Source organism: Homo sapiens, chromosome 5 (genome assembly GCF_000001405.40).
Source record: "Homo sapiens chromosome 5, GRCh38.p14 Primary Assembly".
NCBI classification, from domain to species: Eukaryota; Metazoa; Chordata; class Mammalia; order Primates; family Hominidae; genus Homo; species Homo sapiens.
Window position 1 is genome coordinate 14952141 of NC_000005.10, and position 15994 is coordinate 14968134.

At 43.8% G+C, this 15994-nt stretch overlaps 1 pseudogene; it reads left to right on the plus strand.

Annotated features, from left to right (window-relative positions):
- Positions 7890-10048, plus strand: SEPHS2P1 (selenophosphate synthetase 2 pseudogene 1; annotated as a pseudogene).

The following is a 15994-nucleotide window of genomic DNA, read 5'->3' on the forward strand; positions in this document are numbered from 1 at the left end:
ATTACTGTTTTGTACAATTAATATTCATTTAGATTTAAATACATTTACCTTGCTCATTATTTCTATATGTATTCTGTGTTGCAGTCTTCTGTCTGACCCATTGGAGGAAACCATTGCTGCGTGTTGGATCCATTGTTGGTGTCCTCCTTCTCTTTGGTATCTTGGCCTTTCAAGGACACTTCTGCAGCTTCAGATCCCAATTTGTCCTCCCAGTCCTGTAAAATTGTTTGAAGCTCTGCTGGCTTCTCTGCCTCTTAGCATCTGCCCCCGCCCCGTTTCTTAGTCCCTAGCCCAGTATCAAGAATTGACCAAGAATTGCCCCGAAGGTGCAATCAGACCAAGAATTGCCCCACAGGTGAAACTGGAATGTGGAGAGCTGGGCTCACCTCTGGAGGCTTCCTGTCTTTTGTGGATCTGGTGCCCAAATTGTGTCTGGTTGTCTTGGTGGTTCCTCTATGCCTTTAAACAGTTTTTTTTTTTTTTTTTTTGAGACACAGTCTCACTCTGTCACCCAAGCTGGAGTGTAGTGGTGCAACCTTAGTTCACTGCAACCTCTGCCTCCCAGGTTGAAGCTATTCTCCTGCCTCAGCCTCCCAAGTAGCTGGGATTATAGGCATGTGCCACCACGCCCAGCTAATTTTTATATTTTCAGTAAGATGGCATTTCACTATGTTGGCCAGGCTGGTCTCGAACCCCTGACCTCAGGTGATCCACCCACCTTGGCCTCCCAAAGTGCTGGGATTACAGGCATGAGCCACCATGCCTGGCCTAAATGATTTTTAAAAATATAATTCATCTGTTCTTTAGGTTTTTCTTTAGTTTTCTTTAAACTACTCTGTCATAGCCAGAACAAAAAGTCCTGTAATTATATTTTTTGTACATATATTCTCTGGCATGTGAGAAGCCTTTGACTGTTTAAGAAACAAATTAGCATGTGTTGCTTAAGGAGTCTATGGAGAGAAGTAACAGGGAGATTGCCTTTTCCCAGTTAACCCACTGCCAACTCCAGGCCCTCTTTCTCCCGAGTACCCTTATAGTATGGAGAGAGCATTTCCCTCATCTCTCACGTCTGCTGTGGCTCCAGAGTTTCACGAATCATGCAGGGTGACTGCCTGAGTGTGCTGTTTCTGAACCTGCGAGGGCCCTCTAGCCTTAAAATATCTTCATATCCTCCCCACCCCAGCTGGCCACAGATGCCAGCAATCCCTTTGAGAAAGAACAGTCTCTGCACTATGAGGGGACTCAGGAGAAAGAGGGCCTGGGGTTGGCAATGAGTTCACCGGAACAAGGCAACCTCCACATTACTTCCTTAGCAGAGCTTTAAACTTTCCAGAACTCTGAGAGCCCAGGGCAACACACAGGCTTTGCTGAATGACAGATAGGAGATTCTTCTGTAAGAGCAGGAATGGGAAGCGGGGAGGCGCGTTATGACAGAGGAAAAGAGGCAGAAAAGAGAAAAACAGTCTGCCAACATTATGATCATGCCTCAGCAGTGTCCTGGGGGCAGAGGCAGGTGATCTTTCCATTGTCACAATAACCAGGGGGACCAGGTGGCTTTGACGCCCTGTATCTCCTATGTGGCTCCACAGTCCCACAGTCAATAGGAAACTGAGAACGTGTTGCCAATGCATTCTCTGATTATCTTTATTCCTCTGCCACTGCCCCTGCAAGCTGCAGGAGTGAACCCCCTTTCATCCTCCTCTGATCTTTGGGGTTTTCTCTTACTAATCATTTGTCAGGAGCACAGCCCTTTTGACAAATCGACTGTTGCTGAAGCGTGGTGTGCTTTTCGTGTACTGTAAATTCTTCCCTCGTCTGTTGCGTGTGTATGGTGTTCTATAAATACATTAATTGGTACCACTTTTAATTTAACTGTCAGTGCTGTCTCTTTTCTTGACAAGCGTATATTAAACTCTCTTATGATGGAACAAAATAAAACCACCCAGTTACAGGGGCCTATTTTGGCTAAAGTGGAATGTAACAGGAAGAAAAGTTGTAGTTATGGTGGGGAAAGACTCATCAGTGATAGTTTGTGTAAAAAATTTAGAGTAAAATTTCCTTCTTAGATGTGGGGGGAAAATCCTCCAGGAAACTACTGAAATAAGGAAGGTAAGGTGGAATTGTCAGAACAGCTGCAATTTAGGAAATGGGCTGAAACCAATTTCAACTTCATTTTAGCATTCATCAAGTCATACTTATTTTAGATGACTTTGGTTTTGGAGGAGTTTCAGAAACCATATTCCTTATATGTTCCTTTCTGCCTTGAAAGGCTGCAGCCAATTCACAACAATGGAAACCCAACTGGTACAAATGTTCATTTCAAATGTCTTTTACACTAGATAGAAATTGGAACAAACTAGTCGTACAATAGAGTATATTTTTACTAACTCCCATCTAGATGGCATTTAAGGATATAGTAGCAAATAATCTTAAATGTCTGCTACTCTGTGTTCTAAAGTTTATAAAACCAATGTTTTGAGATTTGGCAATTGACTAAAATTTAGGGTATAATGAGGCCCTTTATTTCTAGATAAATTTAGGTTGATTTCATCCAAGCCCAGTAGACTGGCGTATCAGTCAAGATTCTGCCAGAGAAACAGAATCAGTGATTGTGGGGTCTGGCAAGTCTGACGTCCCTAGAGCAGGCCGTCGGGAAGAGCCATCTGGAGTCTGTCAGGCCAGAGCTGATGCTGCTGTCTACAGGCGGAATTTTCCTTCCTCTGGGAAACCTCAGTTTTGCTCTGAAGGCCTTCATCAGATTGGATGAGGCTCAACCAGATTATTGAGGATAATCTCCTTTCTTTAACATCAACTGACTGTAGATGCTAACCACATCCACAAAATACCTTGGCAGCAACACCTAGGCTAGTGTTTGATCAAGTACTGGATACTGTAGCCTTGCCATGTTGACCTATAAGACTAACCATTACCGCTGGTGGTGAAAACTCCTCCTCGGTTTGAACAGAATTATCTGAAAGTGTTGCTCGGTGTATCCACTACAAATGGCATCAGTCCTGAAGGCCTGGACTGCATGGTCTGGCCTCCAACTCCTAAATGGAGTCCTTCTTGTGGAGTGAGAGAAGCCCAGGTCAGGCTGTCCTTGTTCTCTTCGTTCCTAATACTTTGACAGGGGCATGAGCTCAGGGTGCTAGACTCTAGGGCACAACTTTCCTATTTTTCATGAAGGCTGCACAGAATGAATATCTGCATCAATCAACCACTTCATTCTTTGTCTCTGCTCTGGAGAATGTCATGTGGGGAATGGCCTTTAAGAATTTGCAGTCTGTGTTCAGTTCTAAAGAATGCTTATTTTAAAAATATATCAAAATGAATACAATTTCTGTAAGTATGGATTCTTTACTTACAAGTATGTTTCCTTATAGAACAAAGAGAATGTGAAAAAAGAATATGGTCATAAAACTGTAAAATGTGCATTTGGCCAACCAATATTTAATTTATTTATTATTAATTATTTTAGAGAGGGGGGTCTCACACTGTCACCCAGGCTGGAGTGCAGTGGCATGATGATAACTCACTGCAACCTCAAACTCCTGGGCTAAAGTGATCCTCTTGCCTTAGCCTCCCAAGTAGCTAGTACTGCAGGTGTGTGCCACCACTCCCAGCTAATTTGTTGTTGTTGTTTTGTAGAGATGGGGGTCTTACTATGTTTCCTAGGCTGGTCTTGAACTCTTGGCCTCAAACTATCCTCCCACCCTGGCTTCCCAAAGTGCCGGAATCACAGGTATGAGCCACCGTGTCTGGCCCTGATATTTATTTTATAGAAAGTTCCATTTTTTATAGCTGGAACAATTTTAAATATGACTCAATGTAACTTCTTTAGTTTGTTTAGTTATTTTATAAGTATACATTAGAATGTACAAAATGAATGCATGAGAATAAGTGTAATACACAGTCAATAAGGAAGAAAATAGATTTGAATTTAAGCTTAGATACTATTCCTTGGTCACTTTTGACTCAGCAAAAGTGAAATATGAAGGAAAAACATTTTTATTTAATTTGTTTGTTAAATATAGTTGGTATTAGAGAAATTCTTCTTCTTCTTCCACCAAAAGCCACTTTGAACTTCTCTTCTGGTATGTAAGCTCCATTTTATCAAATGTAACTTTAAAATACAAGTTCTGTTGTTATGAATACATTCAGCACCCATTAAGATGCTTTGATATTCCCTATGACAGATATTCCTTGTAAAACACTTGGCTTGTTTTTATGTCTCCAAACTCTATCATTGTACATGAAGAGGAAAGGGAAAAGGAAAGTTGAAATATTTTGATCTTTATTTTCACAATAAAATTATCTTGGGTTCTAAGAAGCACAAAGCAACTTTGCAATATTACTGCCTGAATAAAAAGCAACATTGTCCACATTTTGTGCAAATGGGAAGTGAGTCCAGGTATTCACAGTGCATATCCAGTGAGCTGACCAGAGCAGGACCCATAAGGAATTTGCCTGGGAGCAGCGAGGGCGTCATGCTGGCCGACCACAGCAACCTTTAAACCTGTGGTGGTAAAACTCAGGGTTTGGGATCTGCTGCATGGAAAGGAAAAATTTTAAACTAGCCTCTTTCATCTTGATTGAGGGTGGAAACATAAACGGGAGTGTTTGTGCTTGAACCTCTTGAAACCAGTTTCTTGGAAAGTAATAGTTAAGTGTTTTCTTAAAACATCATTTGCAATTGAAAATGCAAACCGTAGGGCTCATTAGTTTGTCCATGGGTGGTCTTCAGAGGCTGGACCAAGGCTGGATGTTTGGGTGTTGTTCTGTGTGAGCTGACTGAGGTATGGGAAGGCCTAGACACATTGTTTTTGGGGAAACTTAAAAATAAGTAAGTCCCATGATTTGTCTGCTTTCACCTCCGTTCAACCCTAGAACATTTGGCTCTGGTGTTAGTCTGTTTTGCATTGTTATACAGGAATATCTGAGGCTTGGTAATTTATAAAGAAAAGAGTTTTATTTTGGTTCACGGTTCAGAGGCTTTATAAGAAACCTAATGCTGGCAGCTACTTCTGGTGAGGGCCTTAGGAAGCTTACAATCATGGTAGAAGGTGAAGGGGAAGCAGGCGTGTCACATGATGAGAAAGCAAGAGAGATGCCAGGCTCTTTTAAACAACCAGCTCTTGCATGAACTAACAGAGTGAGAAATCACTTATTACCATGGAGAGGGCACCAAGCCATTTATGAGAGATCCACCCCCCTGACCCAAACACCTCCCACCAGGCTCCATCTGCAACTTTGGGATTCACATTTCAATATGAGATTTGGAAGGGACAAACATCCAAACCCTATTAGCTACACAGTGTCCCAGTGAGGCCACACTGCACAGATTCACAAGCTAGAGAAGCCCCTATTCAGCAAGGATGGGCTCACTCTCACCTCTGAACACTATACAATTAGCATTTTGCTGACACGGCCAGCAAATGTGAGCAGCTCTTTATTTATGGGTGAAAAACTGCCAATCACTTCTCCACTAGGTGGAGAAGTCTCATTTCTATTGTCAACCTCATTTCTTCTTCTTCTTTTTTTTTTTTGAGACAGAGTCTGACTCTGTCGCCCGGGCTGGAGTGCAGTGGCACGATCTCGGCTCACTGCAAACTCCGCCTCCCGAGTTAAAGCAATTCTCTTGCCTCAACCTCCCGAGTAGCTGGGGTTACAGTCATATACCACCACACCTGGCTAATTTTTGTATTTTAGTAGAGACAGAATTTCACCATGTTGCCCAGGCTGGTCTCGAACTCCTGACCTCGTGATCCTCCCACCTCGGCCTCCCAAAGTGCTGGGATTATAGGCATAAACCACTGTGCCCAGCCCTCATTTCTATTATCAAATTAGAATCAACATTTTTGGTTATGAAAGATTCATTTCACATTGTGATTTAGAACACAACCGCAGTTGTGTGTGTGCACACATGCTTGCACATCAAACTTAAAGTTTCACAGACCAGCTCTCTCCTGCTTACCTGTGATTTGCTCTGGTATTTCTTATCCTATCCTATTCAATCCATCCCATCCTACCCTATCCTATGCATCTTCTCCTATCCAATCCATCTTCTCCTTCTCTCCTCTCCTCTTCTCCCCTTCCCTCTCCTCCCCTCCCCTCCTTATTCTAACCTATCCCATCTTATGTCATCCCATCCCATCCCACCCTATCCTATTCTATCTGTATCCCAAGTGCTAGTCATGACTCACTACATTTATATTACGACACTTTAATATCTGATGGATCTACTTCCAGCAAATAAAACCAGCAATGGTGCAACTTCATGAGCACTGGCAGAAAAAGGCACTCTTCTGTATGAAACAATCTGCCGCCCACAGATATACTGATTTCTGACAATGTGCCCAGCCCTTTTCCTCCCAAGTGAGAAGGATAAAGAGAAGAGGTAAAGCACACTCCTTCTGTATGATACATATATACACAGGTGTGTGTGTGTGTGTGTGTGTGTGTGTGTGTGTGTGTATACTTACCATAAATAGTCCCCAAACTTGACTTTCCTTTCCCTGAAGTGGGATAGGAAAGAGGAAATCAGTATCAGTTGAATCTGCATAGTGCATGGATTGGTGCTGGGGATAGAAACTCTTTTTTCAATTCTCACATTTCATCAAAGCTAGTAGTAAACAGAAGTTACTATCAGAGAAGACCTTGAGTAAACTAATTGGTGATTTGAATTAATGTCTTGATATGGCATTAATTTTCTTTCCCTGTCAATTCTGGGAGACATTCTAAAAGCCCTTAGAATGGAAATTAATTGCCTAGCTTTTCCTGTGATGTTAATAGTACTCCCTTGGGCCTTCAAAAGCAACTTTCAAAGGAGAATGTGATTTGTTGCATAGTTCTGTTTATTTTTGTTTTTCCAGAGTTTGGACTTCTTTATTAAAGGCTGTCAACCTAAGGCTTTGACCACAAAGATTTAGCACCATGTTTTTAAGAAAAAGAAAATCAAAATTGGGGTTAACGAAAATTAAAAATCTTTGAGACTCCTTGTAGGTCTCTTGTACAGACACTTGTTTTGCAACTGTCTCTTGCCTGGGTGCGCCAGGTCTTTGCGGACCAGCTCGACCAGAGGAAAAACAAAATAAACATTACCAATGGTGGCTGTCATAACCGGCAACCTCTTTTTTTTTTTTTCCTACCAGACAAACCTCTTTTTTTTTCCTCCATTACAATTTTGTCTGTGTTTGACATTTGAATCACCCTAGAATGTGGAATACTGTTTTTGTTGCAGCTACTGGGTAAGTGTCTCCTACCTACCTTGTCTGGAAAAAGCCCCAGATATCCCCTTCTCATGTGCCCTTGGCCTGGAGGCACTGCCCTTCCTGGCTTCCCTAGCTCAGGCTTTGGAGCCCACATAGTCACCAGCATGAAATTCAATCCCTATTCTCCGGCACCTGAATAGATAGGAGTTCAGCACATGCTCCAAATAGCGCGCCCGGGGACCTGGGAAAGGTGAACTGTTAACCTGCAGCGGGCCTGCCTAGCCTTCAAAGGTCAGATGACATGAAATGCTCCTAGGTGTTTGAAGATATTAGTCACATAGTAAACAAAAATACAGAGATTCTTGGAGGAGGTAGTGGTTGAAGTATTAGAAGCAGACATGTCAGAACAGAAGTATCCTGTCATCCTTGCTTTGCCTCATAAACAGGCGGGTACAGAGGCTGGGACATAATTCCTAAGCTGCTCCTATGACTTTATATCTCAAAATACTCAACATCGATTTCTGGGTTTCCCAAAAGTTGGCTCCAACACTTATCTCCCCTTTTCTATAGATCCAGTCTCTTCAAATACTGGCTCTTCGTACCGTGCAAGCATGTGATAAACCTCTCCCATTTTGGAGGAAGGCCAAGGAGGGGTGGCTTGGGCGAGAAGGGTGTCCAGAATGGTGCCCGGGAGAATCTCTGTGGGAGATATTTGACTGTTACTTCATATTAACTTGAGTGGAAACTAAAAAGGCCGTCTCCTCTTCTCCCCTCTCCTCAGGCCTTTCCAGCAGGCGCGATGGCGGAAGCCCCGTGACGGTGGCCATGGCGGCGGCGGAAGTCTCATCAAGCCCGGCGGCCTTGTCTCTGGGCTGGGCCTTCTCGAGCTACTGGCCCTGCTAGCCCCAGTTGTGGGGTCTCAGCCTGAGCTGGCGACTGACCGGCTTCTCCGGCAGGAAGGGCTGAGGCTGCAAGCTCCCGCAGGAGGCACTGCCCAAACTCCTGGCCAGACTGACACGGCCCACACCCAGCTGGGACGAGGCTGCCCAGGAAGCACCCCTGCCAGGAAGCACCCCTGCCAATGCCCTTCCAGCCCTGGGCATTGGGATAGACTCTTGCATCATCTCACTGAGGCATGGAGGCCTGTCACTGGTGCAGACCACGGACTTCTTTTACCCCTTGGTGGAAGATCCCTACATGAAGGGGTGCATAGCTTGTGCCAACGTGCTGAGTGACCTCTAGGACATAGGCATTACTGAGTGTGAAAACGTGTTGACGTTACTCAGCCTTAGCCAGAGTATGAGTGAGGAGGAATGGGAAAATATAATGCCACTCATGATCAAAGGCTTTCGGGACGCTACTGAGGAGGGAGGAACTGCAGTGACAGGTGGACAAACGTGGTCAACTCTTGGCTTATCATGGGTGGAGTTGCCACTGTGGTGTGTCGGCCAAGTGCATTAATAATGCCTGATAATGCCGCTATTGGGGATGTGCTGGTATTAACCAAACCCTTAGGAACCCAAGTTGCTGTCAATGCCCACCAATGGCTGGAGGATACTGAAAGATGGAATCAGGTGAAGATGGTGGTCTTTGGAGAAGAAGTAGATCTGGCCTATCAGGAAGCCATGCTCAATATGGCTACCATCAACAGAACTGCTGCTGGATTAATGCACAAATTTAATGCCCATGTGGCCACAGATATCACAGGCTTTGGCATTCTAGGACACTCTCAGAACCTCGTGAAGCAACAAAGAAATGATGTGTCCTTTGTCATTTGCAATCTGCCAGTCATTGCCAAGATGGCTGCCATCAGCAAGGCCAGGGGGCAGTTTGGGCTTCTTCAAGGAACCTCAGCTGAAACCTCAGGAGATTACTGATTTGTCTTCCAAGAGAACAGGTGGCTCACTTTTTTTCTGAAATCAGATCTTCCAAGTACAGAGAGGGTCACCAAGCATGGATTGTTGGCATTGTGGAAAAGGGAAATCGGACAGCCTGGATCATTGACAAGCCTCGAGTTATTGAGGTCCTTCCTCGTGGGGCCACTGCCCACTGCCCCTGCTCTTGCTCCTGCACATTCCAATGTGTCCTCAGAGCCTAGCTCATGAAATGAAGTGGCACAAGTTGTTTAGAGCTTAGGGCCTTTGTAAACAATCATGGAGAATTCTCAAGAGTTGATTTAAGAAATTCCCAAAGAAGACTACCTGCATAGTGGTTGCAGCTGCCCTTTCTAGGTGATCTGAATTAGCCCATCAAAGCTGCCTGTGTGTGCATCCCAAGGCCAGAAGTAACATTTTGAACTTTGTGGGGACATTTGTTCATCTCCCGGGTAGAAGAGGAGCAGAAAAACTTGTTTCCTCTCTCCAAAGTAAGATGAGGCTATTCCAGTTTGAGGGATGTTTTTTGCATTGGGTTGATTAATTTCTGCACAGGGAGTGAGATTATTTATTAAAACTGCATACACACACAAAAAGTAAATTGCACAATGAAAAAAATTTAGATCTGAAGCAAATGAGTTTGGACCAATACTATTGATAAATCTAAATTGTTATGAGAGATCTTATAGTGCAATGTCAGATTCTTTATTAGATTTTTCTGAAGTACTGGCTCTTTCCTGCTCTGGACAAGAATTGAGCAGCTTGTTTAAAGACTGGGAAAGGAGGACCTGCAATCATCTGACTTGTTAATGATGTCTCTCCCTCTAAACCCCATTAAGGACCGGAAGAGGCAGAAAGAGCCCTAGAGCCCAGGCCTTGGTGGTCATTAAGATGTTAAATCTTGTGCTGAAAATTTCTGGTGATTTAATCAATAAAGAGTAATTTCTAGCTGAAAAACCAAAATTTATTCCATTTTATAACACAAAACCCTCCTTTGACTATTCTCCCTTTCCTCCCAACAGTGGCTTCTCTTTCTTTTTCTAGATCTGTATGTCTCAACCTTTGGTGTACATCAGAATCAGCTACAGAACTTGTTAAAGCACACATTCCTGAGCCTCATCCTCAGAGTTTCTGATCTGGTAGGTTTGGGGTCGGGTCCAAGAATGTGCATTTCTAACAAGTTCCCAGGTGATGCTGACGGTTGGGGACCCACTTTGGGAAACACCACTCTAAAGAGCACCCTCTGCATTCACTGGCTTTGCTTGCTCTTTTTCCATTCACTACCCAACCTGCTGTCACCTGTCTGCTGCCCCACACCACTGACCTCCAAAGGTCAAATCCAGTGGAGCTTTGTATCCCATCTTACTTGAGCCCTCTGTGACGTTGGTTCCCTGGCCACATGGCTCTCTTTCTTCCTTTGGCTTCCCTGACATCACTCCTTCCCAATTGTCTCCTTCCTTTCTGGCTGCTCTTTTTGAGTTGCCTTTTCAGGAACGTCTTCTCCTGCCCATGGTGTGTTTCAGTCTTCTTCCAGGTGCTGCTCTTGTCCTCTGCATTTTTCACTCTGTTTTCTTCCTGGTTGCCTCACCCATGGTACAGCTTTGACTGGCATGCCAGTAACCCTCAGATCAACTTCTCCACTGCAAGGCTCTCTTCTAGCTCTTTATCTGCACATCCAGACTCATAAAGTTAGACATGTCCCCAGGTGGGCTTATTATATTTGCCCTCAAACAGCCTACTTGTTTGACTTATCTTCAGGAAGGGCAACTATTTTACCCTGAGCCAGAAGTCTGTCTGTCATTCTTACTTTTTCTCCCTCACTTTTATTCCTGACATTCAATTCATCATCAAGATCTCTCTCATATTGCCCTCCTTTCATTTTTCATTGCTAATGCCTCAGTTTCCTACTGTTTGCTGATGTTACTGAGATAATCTCCCAAACTTAATTCTGCAGGCTGGGGCAGGATGGGGTACTTCCTGGGTATTAGCTTTCCAGTGTTTCCAGGCACTTCTTTTTTTTTTTTTTTTGAGATGGAGTCTTGCTGTCGCCCAGGCTGGAGCGCAGTGGTGCAATCTTGGCTCACTGCAGGCTCCGCCCCCTGGGTTCACGCCCTTCTCCTGCCTCAGCCTCCCACGTAGCTGGGACTACAGGCGCCTGCCACCTTGCCTGGCTAATTTTTTTGCTTTTTTTTTTCAGTAGAGACGGGGTTTCACCATGTTAGCCAGGATGGTCTCGATCTCCTGACCTTGTGATCTGCTCACCTCGGCCTCCCAAAGTGCTGGGATTACAGGCATGAGCCACTGCGCCTGGCTGGCACTTTTTAAATACTGGCAACATATAGGAGTCCCTCAAATCAGGTAACATTTTGCTATTCCATAAATTCTGGTTTTGCCATTTGATGCTATATCATTTTATACAATAAGACATTTTATTTTATTATTTTTTTGAGACAAAGTCTCACTGTGTCACCCAGGCTAGAGTGCAGTGGTGTCATCACAGCTCACTGCAGCCTGAATCTCTGGGGCTCAAGTGATCCTTCTGCCTCAGCCTCCAGAGTAGCTGGGACTGTAGGCACACACCACCACACCCAGCTAATTTTTTTTGAAAAATTGTTTTGCAGAGATAGGGATCTCTCTCTGTTGCCCAGGCAGGTTAGAACTCCTGGGCTCAGGCAATCTTCCCACCTCAGCCTCCCAAAGTGGTGTGATTACAAGTGTGAGCCACCACACCTGGCCAAGAAGAATTTTACTACTAATAAAAGTAATGCGGGAGGCATGCATTCTTAGCTCCATTTAAGATGAGGAAACTGAGCCTCTGAGAAGGTAATAGAGTTAGAAAAAAGTGGAGCCAAAGATACAAACAAGGTCTGCAAAAAGCAAGTTTTGTAAAATGAAAAATGTCTAGCTCCTTCCATGTAGAATTGCAGAGTATAGTTCCATTCTTTTGTTGAAGTGCAGTAAGTTTTAATAAATACATATATTTCTGTAATAAAGCACATTCATATAGTAAAGTGAAAAATGTACTAAAGCCAAATATGATCTGGTGACCCATTTCTATATGCAATTTTGTTTTCTCTCTCTCTCTCTCTGTATGTGTGTATATGCATGGGTGTGTATATGTAGTTTTATGAAAATTTTAAAACTTTTATTTGGAAATAATTGTAGATTTTCAGGAACTTGCAAAGATAGTACAGAGAGGCCCTGGGTCCTCTTTATCCAGTGGTTACATCTTATATAACTATAGTACAATATTAAAGCCAGCAAATTGACATTGGTACTATATAAGTTATGTATAGTTCCATGCCATTTTGTCACAGCCATAGATTTATGTGACCACCACCATAATCAAGATATAGCACTACTCTATCACCACAAAGATCTTCCTCATGCTACCTCTTTATAATCATTTCCTCTTCCCTTCACCATTCCTAATCCCCAGCTACTACTAATCTGTTCTCCATCTCTATAATTTGTCATTTTAAGAATGTTGTATAAATGGAATTATATGGTATGTGACCTCTTGGGACTGACTTTTTTTCCACTCCATAATGTCCTTGCGTATAGTTGGGTAATGTTTTTAAAATCCTCTTTGCCAATATCTGTCTTTTAGTTGTCTCCCTCTCACTGATTTCAAGATTTATTTATTTACTTTTAGTATGTATGTATGTATGTACGTACGTATTTTATTTGAGACAGAGTCTCGCTGTGTTGCCTAGGCTGGAGTGCAGTGGCATGATCTCGGCTCACTGCAATCTCTGGCTCCCAGGTTCAAGCTATTCTCCTGCCTCAGCCTCCCGAGTAGCTGGGGACTATAGGCATGTGCCACCACGCCTGGCTAATTTTTGTATTTTTTGCTGGAGACGGAGTTTCACCATGTTGCCCAGGCTGGTCTTGAGCTCCTGACCTCCAATGATCCACCCGCCTTGGCCTCCCAGAGTGCTGGGATTACAAGCATGAGCCACCACGCCCGGCCACCTTTAGTTTTTACAAGATTAACTAATATGTGTCTTGACATGGATTTCTTTAGGTTTATTCTGTTCAGAATTCACATAGCTTCTTCTTTCTTTAAGTTGTGTCTTTTACCAAACTTGGGAAAATTTTAGTTATTGTATTTTTTAATACCTTTTTAGCCCACCTTCTTTCTCCTCTCCTTCTGGGACTCAAATGACATGAGTGTTTGATTTCTTTGTTATACTCGTATAGGTTCCTGAGTTTGTTCATTTTTTTTTCAGTTAGTTTTTTTTTTTTTTCTGTTGTTCAGATTGAGTAATTTCTATTCTGCTGCCTCAGCCTCCTGAGTAGCTGGGACTACAGGTGTGCACCACCATGCCTGGCTAATTTTTGTATTTTTAGTAGAGACAGGTTTTTGCCATGTTGGCCAGGCTGGTCTTGAACTCCTGACCTCAAGTGATTGGCCTGCCTTGGCCTTCCAAAGTGTTGGGATTACAGGTGTGAGCCACAGTGCCTGGCCAATTTCTAGTGTTCTAGTCTCAAGTTCACTGATTCTTTTCTCTGTCCTTTCCCTTCTGCTGTGAAGCTCATCTATTGAGTTTTTTTTTTTTTTGTATATTTTAGTTCTAAAATTTTTATTTGGTTCTTATTTACATCTTCTATTTGCTCAGATTTTCTCTTTTTTCATTTGTTTCAAGAAAGTTTTTGTAATTGTTCATTGAAGGCTTTTTATGATGGCTGCTTTAAAATCTTTATCAGACAATTCCAACATTATTATCTTGGTGATGGCATCTGTGGACTGTCTTTTCTTATTTAATATGAGATTTTCCTGGTTCTTGGTGTGATTAGTGATTTTGTATTTTACCCTGGATATTTTGGGTATTACATCATGAGACTCTAGTTCTTACTTAAATCTGTTTAGCAGCTTCCTCTGACATGTGCTGCAGGGAAAGAAGTGCTCCCCGTTGTTACTGCCAGGTGGGGGTGAAAATCTAGTTTCCCCACTTAGTTTCCTTTATGCCTCCAGGGGCAGGACCCCCATTACTGCTGGGTGGAGGTGGATTGCAGGCTCCTTGTAGACCTCAGCTGACAACCACTCTGGCTGGGAAGGAGAGGAACGTCTCACTATTGCTCCCCATGTGGCCTCCACTGACACTGTTTGAGGGGTGCTTACCACCAGATGGTGGTGAGATTTCTGGCCTCCCAAACCCTTTCGATAAGCTAGGGAGGAGGAGGAATGCCTTATTACCTCTGGGTGGAAGTGGAAGCCCAAGATCCCCATATGGCCTCCATTGACACCATGAAGGGGGTTTCACGTTGCTGGCGTGGGTGACAATCCTGGCTCCTCACTCAATCGTCTTTCATAATAATGGGATGGAGGAGATAGAGTGAGGTGTTATTGTTACCGCTGGGAGAGGGTGGAATTCCAGGATCCCCTCTTGGCCTTTGCTGATGGAGGAGGAGGTGGGGCTCTATTTTTCTGTGGTGTATGGCTGGGGTAGAGTGGCTATTGTCCAAAAGTTTTCTGTCTTGCTATGTCGTAACTTTCCTTGTTCTTTTTTCTTTTCTTTTCTTTTTTTTTGAGATGGAGTTTTGCTCTGTTGCCCAGGCTGGAGTGCAGTGGCACAGTCTCGCCTCACTGCAACCTCCACCTCCCAGGTTCAAGTGGCTCTCCTGCCTCAGCCTCTTGAGTTGCTGGGATTACAGGCGTGTGCCACCACGCGCCCAGCTAATTTTTGTATTTTTAGTAGAGATGGGGTTTCACCATGTTGGCCAGGCTGGTCTCGAACTCCTGACCCGAAGTGATCCATGCACCTCAGCCTCCCAAAGTGCTGGGATTACAGGCATGAGCCACCGTGCCCGGCCATACCTTTCTTTGTTCTTCGGCTAGAAGCAGTAGCTTCTCCTGGGGGCTTTTTTAGTCTGCCCCTGTTACTGTTTTTCAGTTGCTGGCTTTTCTGGCACCATGTCTGGGATGAGTGAGGCAAAAAGAAAACCCAGGGAACTTGTCACAGTGTGGTCCTCGGGGTTCCAGGCCCTTGTCAGTTTGCCTTCATTTCGTCACCTTTCAGAGGCTTGTTATGTTTGTTTTATGCATAACATCTGGGGTTTTCAGGTGTACTTTAACTTCATTTGTTTAGATAAAAGGCAGTCGTGCTTTCCTAGGAATGTTCCGGAAAAGCTGCATACTGATGGTCTGTGGGTGCTAAAGTGTACGTACTGCTTCTAAAGGCCCCAGGCCTTCCCAAGCGTCTATTCCTGCATGTCTTACAGGCACTTAAGCTGACAGATCAGCCTCAGGTTCCTTCCTCTGTTTCCACTATTACAACCAGAGATCCTAACTATCAGTGCTGTCATCTGAGGCTGCACCTTGGAAGGCCATTTAGATAGACCCTTCCTCACACAGGCGATTATTCCCCACGTCTAACCGACGTTACTTCCTGAGCGCCTTTTGAGCTAACCATGTCCTGTCTATATTCCCTTGCTTTATTTGAGCCATTATCATCTCTCACCTGCACTGTTGCCATAACTTCTTAACACATCTGTTTGCATCCGCTTTGTCCCCTCTGAGCCACTCACCCATGGTTCTGAAATGCATCTTTCTAACATGAACTTTTTCGACCCTTCAAGTCTGGCTCTGGGTCTCCCCAAGACCTTTTAGCCAGGGGGCAGAGAACTTGTGATTAGGCCTCCATCTCTAGCCTCACCCTCAGCCACAACCTTCTAGAATATTCCTGCACAGTGTCACTGGTGGCCAGCTATCAATCACATCTCCAAAGCCTTCCCCTGGACCTTTGCACACAGTTTTTCTTCTGTTGTGAATGCCATCACTTACTCTTTCCTTTTTTTTTTCCAATCTGATCCTCAAAATGTAAGCATATGTTACTTTATTTGGGAAGATTTCCTAGGTACTGTACTTCTGACATTGCACTTAGACAAGGTATTATAGTTATGTTT